Below are 14762 nucleotides of genomic sequence, written 5' to 3'. Positions count from 1 at the left end.
GGATCCAGTGCCTTTCATTTCCTTGTAAAAGGTCCTTTTTGAGAAACTGACTTGGTCCAGTGACTGGGGAGAGGGGATGGGTGAGGGCTGGGGGAGGTACTGGGTCCCCAGAGTCAGGGGGCCATCCCCATCCCCAACCCCTTCTCACTTATATCCCTGTCCCTCCTCCTCTCCAGGCCCCAGGCTGGCCTTCTACCTCCTGGCACACCCAGGCCTGAGGGGTTAATTTTGAGGCGCCTGAGCAAGCCTGGCGTGGCAGTATGTAAATCCATACACTTTCATAAACTGCTTAATTAGGCGAATGTTAATGAGACGTTAATTACTGTTGTGCCCGCCGATCCCACAGAAACGGGGATTATGTTTCTCTTCAAACATCCCGTCTTAATTATAACTTGTGCTTAATTCTGCATCTTCCACCAGCCGGGCGAGGGCGGGGTGGGCACCTCCCTTTCTCGGCAGTTCTCTGATGGCTCCTCATTTTTGGTCTTCCATTTGTTCCTCAGACATCTGGTAAGCACCTACTACGTGCCAGGCACAGTCCTGGAGCTGGTGCTGGGGTGACAGAGGGCAATCAGCCTCAGTCCCTTAGGGAGCTCCCTGCCCTGTAGGGAGGTAGGTTTGTAAGTATGTATTGCAGCAAAAGCCCTGGGGCAGGGAAGAGGTGTGGGGGGCTGCTTGGCAGGCACGGGTGGTCCCAAAGAGGAAGTGGTTTGTCTCTCGGGTGGTGGGTCAGGGAAGGCTTCATGGAGGAGGTGATCTGTGGACTGAGTGTTGAAAGTGGAAAAGTATTCACCAGATAGATAGGAGGCTGAGAGTTTGGGTGGAGGGTGGTCCCGCTTGGCCAAAGACCTGGTGTTCAAAGCCTCGACCCCTGTGTGCTTTCCCTCTCTAATCCAGATCTCTTAGCCTTGAAGCCCAGGAATTTAGGGGGCTCCTCAGAGAGCCTTGGCTCTGCCCAGGGCCACCAAGTGGCCTTGGGCAGGTATCTGCTCCTCTTAGGGCCTCACTCCATCTTACTCTGAGGGCCTGGCTAGGAATTGAATTGGGTCTTTGGTCTCAATCCAGGGAAGAAGGTGGTCAGGATAGGCTTCCTGGAGGAGGCCTCTCCACGGCCTGCTCCTCTGGAGCTATGAGACTCTGTATTTTGCTCTTGCATTTGAGTCTCTGAGCGTAGCAAACACATGTGCTTGGTGTGTACCATGGCCCCACCCTCCAGACCTGACCACCATAGCCAGGAGCCTGAAAGACTGGCCTGCACACACTGTCCTCATGCCACAGTTTCTACCCACGCCTCGGTCCACTGTGCCTTCCCCCAGCAAGGACTGCTTAATGCTGCCTCTGCCTCTCCTTGTTCTCTTTCACCCTCAAGTACCAGGAAGCCTCAGGCTGTTCTGGCTGCAGCCAAACCTGCCAGGGTGAATTAAGGGCCGAATCATCAAACTCTAGGCCTCAAAAGACCCAAGAGGTCATAAAGCCCCATTTTAGAGATGGGAGACATGGGGTCAGAAAGGGTCAGGGCCTGGCGTGGAGTTGCACATCACATCCCGGCCTCACTCCATCACTCATGTCCACTCCACAGATGGGAATACTGAGGCTCAAAGAGGCTATATGCCAGGGATGGAGACTCCAGGGGCTGGGCATGTGACAGGGCCTCAATGAGCTCCTTTGGGTCATCTCTTCTGATGCCATTCCCCTGGAGAGGAGAGCCTTGCAGAGAGGCTACAGACACCTAGTGAGGGGACTCCACTCCATGTCCCTGAAGCTGAGAAGCTGCCTTGGCTCCCCAGCCCTTGGGGCCTTTTCTTCTGCAACTCCTGTCAGAATCTCTCCTTTGAGCACTTAGTTATGGTGGGAGATGAGTTACCTGGAATGTCCTGTGCCTGACTTGGACCAGATTAATGGCATTTGTAGTCTAGACATCTTAACTCAAAGGAGCACAGTCACGGAGAAAAAAGCCCTTTAGCCCATTACGTGTATTTGAACAATTACAACTCAGCCCTTTAAACTGGTTGTTATGTCCCCAAATATGAAAATAAAGAATGCCTGTCCCAACTTCTGCGCCATCAGCAAGACTGTGAGGACAGCCTTTGCTTGCTTGCAAGTGGTCCTGTGCCTGTGGACTGGGCTGCTGTGGCCTTGTTCCTCACAATTTGCATTGTGTTCACAATTTGGTGGTGGGTCCCTGTATTGCCCCACCCAATGCACTGGAGCAAATTTTTGGTTTAATAGAAAGATGTGAATTAAAAATGGATACTTGGGCCAGGTGCAGTGGCTCACACCTGTAATCCCAGCACTTTGGGAGGCAGGTGGATCACTTGAGCTCAGCAGTTCGAGACCAGCTTGGGCAGCATGGCAAAACCCCATCTCTACTAAAAATACAAAAAAAAAAAAAATTAGCCAGGCATGGTGGCACGCACCTGTAGTCTCAGCTTCTTGGGAGGCTGAGGCGAAAGAATCACCTGATTCTGGGAGGCAAAGGTTGCAGTGAGCTGAGGTCATGCCACTGCACTCCAGCCTGGGTGACAGAGTGAGACCTTGTCTCCAAAAAAAAAAAAAAAAAAAAAAAAAAAGATACTTATTAACAATCACAACAAAATAAAGCTTTTTAGCAAATTTCTGTGGTTTCTGTTTCTGGCCATATTCCCAGTTTGGGCCCAGTGGTGAGTCCTATTACCCTCACCTCCTTTCCCAGCACCCAGGATGTACTCACTTATTCCTCCTCCTGTGTCCCAGTTCCTCCAGCCCCAGGCAGGACATAGGGGGAGATTTAGATATTTGGAACCTCAGAACTGGAGGCTGGCTCCCAGTGAGCAGCTAGCCTATGGGTCTCAAACTCAGATGCCCCAGGGGCCAGGCAAAGGGGCTGGAAATGAGCAAAGCAGGTTGATAAGGACCGTGGATAACTGGAGGGCCACCCATCAGCCCCAGCGGATTGCTCCCATGTGGAAATAAATGCAGGCCCTGTGTGGCCAGATTCAACTTTTCCAAGAGAAACCAGAAATCCAGATTCCTATGTAATTTGCAAAAGTTGGCAACTGATTCTAATCTTTTAAAAAACCACTGAGCAGGCCAAACAAAACATTCTGCTGCTCAGTTCGTAACCCCTGTTGCTGGTTCAGCCCCTGCATTTGCAGACAGGGACTGAAGCCTGGTGGGGCTGGGGGACGGGAGCCTGGACACCCTTAGTGGCTGGGCTCACTCCAGAGGCCCCCTGGTCTCCCACCTCCTTGAGCCTCTCCATATTCAGCCTGGGCTGTTAGATGTTCCCCTCCCCTCCCTACCCCAACCCCGGCAGGCACCCTGCTACCTTCACCACGGAGGAGAGAGTCATCAGGTGTGTGGAATGACAACCAGAAACACGGCTGCTGCAGGGAAACAGGCATGAGTCATTGCCGCGCTGTCTTTTAAGGAGGAAAAAAAAGCCGCCTCCTTAGAATCGTCACCCAGGCCCACTGTGAGAGGCGGTGAGTGGGGCTCTGAGACCTGGCAGTTTATTTCCGGGCCACATCCCCTCCCTCCGGGGTGGGCCCTGGCTGGCACCAGGTGAGCAGTAGTGCCCTGGTTATAGGTGTGGTTCAGGTGCCAGGCTCCCCACGGCCGTGGCCAGGGCAGAGCGCTCAGCATGTTTGTTCACTTATGACTTTAAAAAATAACACAGGGACTCTTTTATTAAAACAGCTGTATTACCAATCAACATGTTTTAATAGGACACTCAATTAGAGCAAGATTTACAGAGAGGTAGACGCCCCCATGTAAACTGGCACCTTTCTCCCCAGTCGCCGGCTCCAGTGCGTCACTGTCTAATGTGGTCTCCTTTCTCAGCTGGGCATGAGACAAATACTTCTTTCAGCTCCCCTGCACTTCTGAAGTTAGGGGAAGGGGCATCGAGGTGAAGGTGACGCTTGCTGAGCACCTATGGTGTGCTGGGCACTGGTCCTGGTGCTTCGATATACAACCTCACTTACTGTTGACAGCCACCCTGTGATGTCAGTGTAATTGGCTCCATTTTTTCAGGTGGGGAAACTGAGAGAAACTTGCCCACAGCTTGCTGCCTCAGGCCCACTTGGACCGAGTTGCCTCTGGCAGTTGGGGAGTTAGCAGGCGTTGCGGGCCCCTGGCCTCCCTCCCAGCTGCCCTCCAGCCTTCAATCTGGGCAGAGCTTTCCAGTCCACACCGCTCCTCCATGCCAGTTCACTCTCAGGCCCAAGGGTGCTGAGGGGCCACAGGGGGCTTGTAACCTCAAGCCAGAGGCCAGTGAAGGAAGGGGAAGCAATGTGCAAGGTAGTGTGTGGGTATGCATGTGCGTGTGCATGGGTGGCTGCACACACATGGGCATTTAATCTGCGTAGGTCACATGCCCATCCCCTGTGTGCCTGCTACTTACTTGCCAGCCCTGCTGTTAAGTGCTTTCCAGGTCTTCAGAGAAAGCCCTGATTTTACTCCTTACTCAGGGAGGGTGGGGTGGTTTGGTCTCAGGTGCTCTCTCTGTTAGGGGCCTTGTGGGCTCCCTATGGGCTGAGTGGAGTGGACCCCACTCTGGAACACCTCAGACAGGCCCAGGCTGAAGTGGGGATAGCACTGGGGAGATTCAGGACCTCACCCAACTATTTTCCTCCCCCCGCTTCTGACCGCCCCCTCCTCGACAATGGTGATCCTCTCATTGCCACAGTTCTTCCTCTGTGCCAAGCATGGTGTGAGGGGCTTTTCATAGATGGTGGCCCCATCTGATCCCCCCAAAACCCCCATATAGGAGGCAGTCTCATTGTTTTTCAGATGAGGAAACTGAGGCACAGAGAGGGTAAGCAGCTTGCCAATGTCACAGAGTAAATGGGAAAGCAGGGATTTGAGTCCAGGCATCTCATTCCAGAGAATGTGCTCATCAAGAATACGAGGCTTGGCTGTCCTCCTGGCCCAAACTCAAGCCTGGCCTCCTCCATGAAGCACACCCTGACTGCCCCTGCTGGCTCTGAACTGCCCCAGGTACAGCTGTCTCTCTCTTCCAGGGTGGCTGTCTTGGCCATTCTCCTCTCAGAGCTTGCAGATGGGCCACAGGGTAGAGGAAATACCCAAGAAAGGTCAAGTGAGTTGGCTTTGGAAGCTGGAAAGGAAACGGAGGCCTGCAGATGGGGAGCGCCCGCCTTGGGGTGCACAGTCAGTGAGGGGTGAAGCCGGACTCTCAACCTCCAGTCCAGTGCTCTTTCTTCTGTACCTACTTGTTGCATTGATTTTATTTCAGAGACAGGCCCAGATGCATGGTGGGAGAGAGACCAGAGGGGAGCCTGGCTAAGACCCCTTTTCCTTTCCTTTGCCTCTAACCCTCGAACCATGCAGGCTTGCACATTTTCAACCTCCCTCCCATCCTTCACCTTCCCACCATTAAAACAAAAATTGGGAGGCGAGGGAGGGGCGAGCTGTTGACTTAAATGTTTAAATTAGCCTCACTTTGCTGAAAGCTGGGTGTCAGGATAAATCCATTCCTACAGTGTCATATATTTTTCCTGAGTGGGAAGTTGGTGAATAAATGAGTGTTCTTCATATATTATTATGGCCTGACACAGCCGAGGCAGGGAAAGGCGGCCCACGGTGATTAACGAGCAGGTCTGGGCTAATGAGCCGGAGGTTGGGCTCCTTATGGGGGGCCTATGCCTGGCGCCTGGGCCAGGGCTGGGGACTGAGCCCCTGTTCTGGGGCATTCCAGCCAGCCCTTGCTTAAGCTAGGAGGCCTATGGTGCCTTGCTTTCTCCTCCTCCTCTTCCATCTGTCCCTTAGGACAACTCCCTGCCCCTGCTGGCTCTCTTTGCCCTGTCCCCGCACCCAGTCTCCTCTTATCTGGGGACTTGAAATGACATCTTTCTGGCTCACGGTCCATGGAGGGAATAGAACCCTGCAAGGAAAATACCATGAGACCATGACATCTACGTGGTATTAATATTTTTAGATTAAAAGACACCTTGACTTGGTCTTCACAGTATCCCCATCGACCAATGAAGGAACTGAGGCAGGAAAATGGAAAGGAATCCCTGTGAGCCTGTGGGGGCCCAGCCTCCACCTCTGTGGTGTTCCCACAGCCACCTCAGTATTTCTGTGGCTGAGTGGACCACCCCCCATATGATGCTGGAGTCAAACCCTGTGCATGGTCAGTGCCTGACAAGCCCAGCCTTGGCCACTCTTGTTCTGGGGGCTCAGATTCTCTGTCCTGTCAGACCAGAGCCTGGGCCCCTGCGGCAGACTGCCCAAGAAAACCCATCTCAAAGATATCAAAGTCTCAAATGTCAAACCAAGATGATCCCTGAGGAGCCAGAGAGGCCTCCTAGAGGAGGTGGCCCTTGAATCAGGGACACTGACACTGGTGGGGAGGGGAAGGCAGGGTGGCTTGGCCAAGGAGTGGGGCAGTAGGGCCTCCAGCATCTAACCTTGCCCAAAGACTGTGGGATCCTTCCCAGGCTTGGGCTTCATTTCCTATTGCCCCTCTGCCTCTCCCAGACTGTAGGGGCTGAAGGTATGGGTGGGGAAACCTGCACAGCAGAGGTGGGGGCCCCTCCCCAAGGCTGAGCTCCAAGGTGTCCCTGAGGGATGAGTGTGTGAACATGGATGAGTCTGTGTGCGAGGTGGTGCACGTTGGCATTGGGGGGCGGTGGAGTATCAGGGTGTATATACGTGGGGACATTCAGTGCCCTCTAGGGAGGCAGAGTGGGTGGCATGGTGGTTCAGGGTCATTCCCCTGAGCACGTTCTCCTAAAGTGACACCTTTGCAATTGTCTTTCAAGTTAGCATGTTGATGTTCTTAACACTGCGATGAAAATGTGCAGAAGTAATTGAAAGCCAGACAGTTAGACGCCAGATGCGGGAAAATGGTCACGTTCACTTCCTCACCAACCAGGGCTGCTGAGCCTGGGCTCCCAGCCCCGGCTTGGCCCTCCCTTGATGGTATGTATGTGTATGTTTATGGTACCTTGTGTGCAGGAATGTGTGTGTGTGTGTGTGTGTGTGTGTGTGTGTGTCTGTCTGTCTGTCATTGTATGTCAGTGTATTGTGAAACCATGTATAAACACATTTGTGAGTGTGTGTCATTGTGTGTGTTGTGTGTATGTCTGAGAATGCATGCTTGATTGTGTCATTCCTCTGTGTGTGGACATGTTTTTGACTGTGGGTGTCAAAATGTCCGAGCTTTTTTGGGCCCAGTCTTCCTTGTGGACCTTAATGAGAGTTATGGGCTCCATAACTGTAAAGCATTGTCCACATGTGATGGGTCAGTTGCTGCGATCACAGGAGGAGGGATGCAGAGATCAGGACCCTGCAGTGAAGAAAGTGGGCTGGATGGGGCAGGGTCTAGCCTGGGCCTGCCTGGCCCTTCTGCGTGTACCTGGGCCCATGCCCTCCCTGTTGCTGAGGCTCTCTAGCCTCTCCAGCCCTGCCTTAGCCTGGCCTCAACACCCTGCCACCCCCCTACTTCCCACCAGCAAGCCTTTGCTGAGCCACACTGTCCAGACAGGATGGGGAGGAGACCCTGCTCCCACCGAGGAGTCAGGATGAGGAAGAACTTTGGAGCAGTTAAATGTTAAACCACATTGGGCTGGATCAGCCTTTGGAAGATTGAAGGGGAATTTAGCTTTGCTGGCGGGAGGAAGGAGGAAACATCAAGGGCAGATGTGTGGCATCGGGAAGGAGGTGGGAGTGTGGGGGAGACAGGGAGGCAGCCAGGTGGGGTGGGGCCACTGACAAAGGCACAGAGCTGGAGAGGTGGCTGCAGAATGCCCAGCACATAGTAGGTGCCCAGGAAATATCTGAAATGCAGGTGGGGGTCCGGTTATGGAGTTTTCCTTGTGACCTTGGGAAGGTGTTAACCAGAAGGTATAACTGTAACATAAACAATGATAGCAACTCTATTTCCTAAGCCCCTACAGTGCAGGCAGCACTGTGCCTGCCACCCTACACACATTATCCCAGTGTATTATTTCATTTTACAGATAAAGAAATGCGGGGTCAGGGAGGTAGTGGCCTGCTCAGCGTGACAGCACAAATCAATGTTGGTCCTAGGATTCAATTCCAGGTCTGACGCCAAAGCCTGTGCTGCTTCCCCTCCATGCTTCAGTTTCCTCATTTCTACCATGAGGGCCTGGAAGAGAGGACTTCATATTTAGCTTGCTTTGGGGCTGGAGCCTGTTGACCCCAGAGTTCCCTCTTTTGAGTAAGACTCTGTGCCTGGCCTGGGGAGCTTCCTCCTTCCCCATCAGATCCCTGGGGTCACCTCCCTTCCCCTAGGCCAGCATGGGGCCAGGCCTGGGATGGGCAGGAGCAGAGTACCAAGAGCCTTTTGGAGGGAGGGGTGTTGCTGTGCTCCTGAAGCGAACTGAGTGGGGACCTGGCTGTGCTCCAGTCTGGTCCTAGTAGGAGGGCCTTGGCCTCAAGGGAGTTGTGCATCCATCTGTGGCTTGGTCTCCTTCCCTACAGACGTGGCTGGCAGAGGGAGAGGCCATACCTTTTGTGTGCACAGCCCCCAGATAAGTCAAAAAGTGTCTTACCTGCATGGCCTGCCTCAAGCTTCACAACAGCGTTGGGAGCTGGAGACCACCAGGCCCCATCTTATAGGCAAAGACATTGAGTTTCGTGGAAGCCTGTGAATTTCCCAGGGTCCTCAGTGACTGAGGGCAGAGCTGGGCTAGGCCATCTTCTGCCTACCGGACCTACCCTCACCGTGGCCCTCTGATAGGCCAGGCCAAGGACGCTGCACTGTGGGGCACAAAGGGCAGCCCTGACTTCTGAGGAGGTTGCCAGAGGCAGGGCCTAGGGCTGGAGGGGCCACTCTGCAGGCTCTTCCTTCTCAGAGCCCCACCCCCAGAACCCCCAGCACAGCCTAGGCTGGGACTGCCACCCACTGCGCACTCCAGAGGCAGCTGTGCTGAGTTGGGTGGAGCGTCCTGTCGCCCTGTCCCTGGGAGGCGGGTGTGCCTAATGAATTAATTAATGTTGGCAAAGCACTTGGAGAACTTGGGCTGAAAGGTGCTCAATACATGCAAATCAGAGTGATTGTTATTATCCATAATTATGGAGTTTCTGCCGGAGAAATTATTCAGAAGCGGACGGTGGCTGGGCCAGCACAGGGCCCTGCCAAGATCTGCTTCTCAAGAATGGGGGAATCTGTCTTCCTTCCCTCCCTTCCACTCTTCCCTTCCTCCCTTCCTTCCTTCTCCCCTCCCTCCCTTCCCTCCACACTTCTTGCCATCCCCTTCCCCCCTCACTCCCTCCCTTCCTCCTTTCCTCTTTTCCTTCCCTTCTTCCCTCTTTTCCATCCTCTTGCTCCTGCTCCCTCCCTCTCCCTTCTGCCCCACTCTTTCCCTTCCTCCTTTTCCCTTTTCCCCCTTTCCTTCCCCCTTGCCTTTCTGCTCTTCCTTTCCCCCATCCCTGCTCCCACTCTCTCTCCCAGCTCTGGGCCTGTTTCCTGCTTTTCCACAGCAAATGCCTTCTTTGTCTTCTCTGTCATGAAGACAGGCACCTGGCAAGGTTTGGAGAAGGAAGAGACTGGGCAGTAGCTTCTCACTCACTGGAAGTGGGAAGGATCCAGAAGCTGAGCCTCACTTTTTTCCTCTGTTAAATGGGTGCATAAGGGGTTCCCTGCCTCTTTGGGTGAGTGGCAATGCCCAGGAGGGCACTTTCTGTGTTGCAAACTTCACGCCTGTAAGGCTCTGCCATACGTTGTTTAGATAAACATCGTGTGTGTGTTTGTGTGTGCACACTTGGTGTGTGTGTGCCTCCAGCCCTCTCCTCCCTCAGACCGTGTTCTCAATATGGCTTTGTGTCTTTGGCTGTTGGTTCCCTGATGGCTGAGGCTGACCCTCCTCCACCAGACTGAGTGAGCAAGCGGCCCCATGCTGACAGTCCTTGGCAGTGCCCAGAAACAGCAATCCAAATAAACTCTCTCTCTCAGCTGCACCCTACTTCCCTCCCCCTACCCCCAGTCCTCTGTCTCCATGACGATGTTCATCTTTTGTGCCCACCAGCCCCAGGGAGGGCTGCTCCCAGATTCAGCACCATGAACAGCGCCTGGCTCAGCCAGGCCCGCAGAGTCTCCTCCCAGCTGAACATAGCCTCCACAGGTCATTCTGACCCAAGTCCTACTTCCACAGCCAGACACCAAAGCCAGGAGAATGCCAGTGACTTATCCAAGGGCCCACGGAAGCTTAGCTTTAGAGCTGACCTACAGCCCTGGTCTCTGAACTCCCCATTGCATTACAAGGAAGCTTTAGAAGGACTTCCTAGTGTTTGGTCAGCAAACACTGGGCAAGCACCTACTGTGTGTCTGCCTCTATACCAGGTTCGGTGATGGAGGTTAGTTGGAGGCAGTCAGGTCTCTGTTCTCTCCAGCACGCGGGACCCATGAAACAACAGCCACAGCCATGACAACGGCGAGAAAGCCAGGGATGGCAAATATGACACTATGTATGTGCTTGATTTTGTGGTGTCTGTGAGAAGTACTTGAGAGATGTGAGGCAGAGCAGGTCCCTGTAGGATGGAGCAGTCAGGAAGGCTGCTTGGAGGAAGTGGCACCCAGCCTAGAGAGGCAGAAGGGAGGGGGAAGCTGGTTGCTGAAGAAGGGGCTGGAATGAAGCTGGTCTGTGTATGAGTGATGGTGAGAAGTCCATCCAATGGGCTCAGGGCAGCTGGTGGCAGTGAGCCTGGGAAGGTCTGCAGTGCCCTATGAGGGGCTGGCCTCTGTCCTGTGGGCACACGGGAAGGCTGACCAGCACAGGGACACAGTGGGATTCCCCTCCCCTCTACAGTGCTACAGCCTGCTCTGGTGTCAGAATCCGAGCCCCTACCTCTCCTTCCCTCCCTTACCTAGGGTTGGCTGATTCCATCTGGAAGTGACAATAAGCTGTGGTTGTCTATGGGGCCTTTGTGCCTTATTGCCCAACCTGTAATCTTTCCCATCCAACACAGGCTCCTTTCTTTTCCCTGGCATTTGTCAAAAAGATGGGACAGAGCCCCAGAGCCCTGTGGGGAGGCTGGGCCGGAGAAGGCCTCTTGCTGCCCATCGATTTGTGTTGCTTTTGCCAGCTGCCTGAGTGGGTTTGCCGGACACCATGGGGCTGTGTTTGGCTTTGGATGATGAAATAATGTCTTCACCAAGGAAAGGAGAAAGCCTTTGCTAATTAGCTCAGCTGCCTACTTTTAGGACAAAAGTCTTTACTGTTAGGCTCCTGTCGCTGGCTGAGTGGTGGGGCTCTGCGGGGAGCCAGTGTGGTGGGCAGTCCACCTTGGGGGAGACAATGGAAGGATGAGAGGGGCTGGGGCAGGCAGGGCCAACATTTTCCAGGGATGCTATCTCCTTGGCCTTCTGTCCCCCAGCAGCGTTTTCCTGGCACAGGTGCAGCATGGGGTAACGAAAGGCCTTGGGATGACATAGATCCTGGTTCTGTCCCCAGCCCTGCCACTTGCAGGCCTCATGGCCTTGGGCAAGACACAGCTGACTCTCTGGGTTTCGAGTCACCTTCTCTGAAGAAGGAGGCATGGTCACATGTGAGAGGGCGGCTCCTGGGCTTGGTGAGATGATGGAACAAAGCACCTGGCACACAGGGGGGACTTGGGAAATGTGGGTGGCTTCATGTTCATTACTTAGGATCACAGCCTTACCTTGCTGTTGGCTCGGGCCTTGTTCATCTAGAGCTCAAGTATCCTGCTCTCCACCCGTCTGAGCCCGTAGAAGGGTGAGATCTTCTTCCCTAACTTCTCCCAGGGACTGGGAGGCAGTGGGGCCAGTTGAATGGCTGGATTCAAAGGCAAAAGCATTTGAAGTGCTCCTTACCCTACAGTTTAGGCTTTGGGGCTAGTGGGAAGGGGCTGAAGATCAGACCAAGTGATCAGAGGAGGGAGGGCCAGGATGGAAAGGCCTGAAGCACTGACCCTTCTCCAGGAAGCCCTCCAGGGATGGGCTGGAGGTGCTCTTTCTCTGTGTCCCCCCTACCCCATAGGCTTTCACTGTGTTCTTCCCAGGGCATTGCCCCCAACTATCACAGGTCTTATGCTCACTCCCATCTCTGTGAGGCTTTCTGGTATTCTAAATTTCTCATACCTGTGACTCGTGAACCCCACGGGCAAGGTAGATAATAGTAGGAGCAGTAGTCATGGTGTTCAAGGTAATGATCCTAAAAGCAGCCAGCCTTGCTGAGGACTTACCATGTGCCAGGCACAGGTCAAGGCACCCTGCAAGGATCATTCCCTTACTTTTGGTAGACAGGGTTGGATTGACTCCCATTTTACGGAGAAGGAAGCTGAGGCCTGAATGGGAGAGGGGCCTCTTGAGGGCATAGCATGAGTAAAGGCAGAGATTCACACCTGTGCTCACACCTGGCTCAGGTCAGTTTAGGCTGACAATCACGGTGGTGTGCCCACTCTGTGCCCCGCCCTGGACACAGAGAGGGAGATGGTACATACTCAGGCCCTCAAGCAGGTTATGGTCCGCGGAATACCCTCCACGCTGCCCTTGTTCTTCCTGACCTCCTCCTCGCCCCAACTCAGAGGTGCCAGCTGCATCTTTCCCACTGGACTGGCCCTGCCTCTGACTCTGGAGTCCCTTCAGTGTAGGCTTCACAGGCAGAGGCTCCAGTCTCATTGGCCAAAGTATTTCTGGCACTTACCAAGCCCTGACACGTAGTAGGGGCTCACCTAATACTTGTTTAGTGGTGGGATAAATGTCATTGTGTGGATTAAATGAGACCATGTATATGAAATACTTGGCACTCAACCAAATATTTATTGAGTGAAAAAATATCTTTGGGTGGAAAGGAGGTGGTGCAGGGTGTCAAGTGTCTGGCTCATAGTAGGCTCAGCACAGGGGAATGGTAAAAGCCGTATTGTTGGCATCCATTCTTCTGGAAGGGGTTGGGTGGGTGGACCAGACCAGAAGCAGGCCCAGGAGGTGGGAGAGATAGACAGGGAGAGAAGCAGGCACGCACCGGAACTCCCAGGAAGAGGCAACAGCAGGGAGAAGGCTGCTTTGCAGCTGGGGACCCTGACACCTACTCCATGTGGAGCTGGGGACTGGAGCGCGTGCGTGTGTGCACGCGTGTGGGCGGCTGTGTGTGTGTAAAACAAATAACTGGAAAATGAATTTAATTATAAGGCACTTTTAATAGTTATTTATATTTAATCCTGCTAATTCTACTTCTCATGTAGCCAAACTGTAATGCTATTCTTCTTACTCATTTGCTAGTGAGAGTAGGGGAGAGAAGGGAGCAGGAGGCGGCCTCACGGGAAGGCAGCAGGTGTCCCCCGACCCTGGGGTGGGCCCAGCTCAGGGGTGGATACTGAGGGCAGTGAGGAAGGGGCCATTGGCAAGGCTGTCTCGGGGGGCATCGGGGACGTGGCCCCTGCTCTGACTCCAGGGCACGTGTTCACTCAGCCCCAGGGGTGGGTGAGGGGGAGTCATGGAGAGAGCCCAGCCTGAGTCAGGCAGACCCAGGTTCAAATCCATGTGTCTTAACTTCACAGGCTCACTTTCTCCACCTGTAAAGTGCTATCACCCACTCCCCACCCCCACCCTGAGAGCTGCTGGGAGGATTAAATTGGAGAGAGCCGGCCTGCCCCATGGCAGCTTGTCCAGAAAGTCCGGTTCCGCACCCTACTTCCTCTTACCAGCCCTCAAGCTGGCCCTTGGGCTCCAGACATGCCCAGCCAGCCCTCAGCTTATTGGCAGAGAGAAGATGTTTGACTAACTCTATGGCCAATAACTGACTTCTTCCCCTTATTTGAGGATAACCCCTTAGGAGAGCTGGAGGGCTGAGTTGGGTTGGAGGGTGGTCTGGTGGCGGGAGCAGCTTCACTGGGCAGCAGGGAGCAGTCCACGCAGCAGCCGTGGGAGTGGGCAAAGGGGATGACACATTCCTAAGAAGGGTCCATGGCATGGGCCACATGGTGGCTCTGGAGGAAGGAGGTCAGGAGTTAGAGACCCAGACCCACTCTGCTGGGGAGAGTCTGGGAAAGCTGGTAGCCCCTGCTGAGTCTCTTTTGTTTTCTTACCAGGGCTGTGAGGCCAGGATGTAAAAGACTGAGAAATAAAACCAGGGAAGAGCTTCAGGCAGGTTTAAGGCCTGGAGATGGGGCTGGTGGGAGGTGCTGAGTACTCACTGGGCCCACCTGGGGAATGGCATTGGGCTTGTTTTCTGACAGTGCTTCCTGTGGCCAGGCTGAAGGCAGGGGCCTCAGAGTAGCCTGGAATGGAGCAGGCAGGTGATGCTGGGCTCAGACCTCTCTCTAGGGACCCCATAGAAATTGGGCTGGGGGGCCGGGCGCAGTGGCTCACCCCTGTAATCCCAGCACTTTGGGAGGCCGAGGCAGGCGGATCACCTAAGGTCAGAAGTTCGAGACCAGCCTGACCAACATGACGAAACCCCGTCTCTACTAAAAATACAAAAATTAGCCGGGCGTGGTAGTGTGCGCCTGTAATCCCAGCTACTCAGGAGGCTGAGGTAGGAGAATAGCTTGAACCCAGGAGGCAGAGGTTGCAGTGAGCCAATATCACGCCAGTGCACTCCAGCCTGGGAGACAGAGCGAGACTCCAAAAAAAAAAAAAAAAAAAAAGAGAAGGAAGGAAGGAAAATAAATAAATAAATAAATAAATAAATAAATAAATAAGGCTAGGGGCCAGTCACTGTGGCTCTTGCCTATAATCCCAGCACTTCAAGAGGCTGAGGTGGGAGGATTGCTTGAAGCCAGGAGTTCAAGACCAGCCTGGGCAACAAAGCAAACCTCTGTCTCTCCCCTGC

The 14762-nt window shown here is 53.9% G+C and overlaps 1 protein-coding gene across 9 annotated transcripts in view, besides 3 other annotated features; it reads left to right on the top strand.

The window, feature by feature from the left end:
- Positions 1-14762, top strand: part of LINGO1 (leucine rich repeat and Ig domain containing 1) — a 207874-nt gene that overhangs the window by 57414 nt on the left and 135698 nt on the right. The gene's annotated exons all lie outside the window — the stretch shown is intronic.
- Positions 9973-10173: a silencer, noted in NCBI's record as "peak2394 fragment used in MPRA reporter construct". NCBI's record gives its function as "represses an SCP1 promoter by STARR-seq MPRAs in K562 erythroleukemia cells {active_cell/tissue: K562}" and the evidence as "EXISTENCE:reporter gene assay evidence [ECO:0000049][PMID:32103011]".
- Positions 11093-11290: a silencer, noted in NCBI's record as "fragment chr15:78044539-78044736 (GRCh37/hg19 assembly coordinates)". NCBI's record gives its function as "represses an EF-1alpha promoter that drives an FKBP-Casp9 reporter gene in an ReSE screen in K562 erythroleukemia cells {active_cell/tissue: K562}" and the evidence as "EXISTENCE:reporter gene assay evidence [ECO:0000049][PMID:32094911]".
- Positions 14001-14762: an enhancer, noted in NCBI's record as "NANOG-H3K4me1 hESC enhancer chr15:78041067-78041828 (GRCh37/hg19 assembly coordinates)". NCBI's record gives its function as "activates a minimal SCP1, AML or CMV promoter by ChIP-STARR-seq in naive H9 embryonic stem cells {active_cell/tissue: H9 hESC(naive)}" and the evidence as "EXISTENCE:reporter gene assay evidence [ECO:0000049][PMID:30033119]".

This window comes from Homo sapiens, chromosome 15 (assembly GCF_000001405.40).
Source record: "Homo sapiens chromosome 15, GRCh38.p14 Primary Assembly".
In the NCBI taxonomy this organism is placed as follows: domain Eukaryota; kingdom Metazoa; phylum Chordata; class Mammalia; order Primates; family Hominidae; genus Homo; species Homo sapiens.
This window is presented reverse-complemented; position numbering and strand designations above follow the sequence as displayed.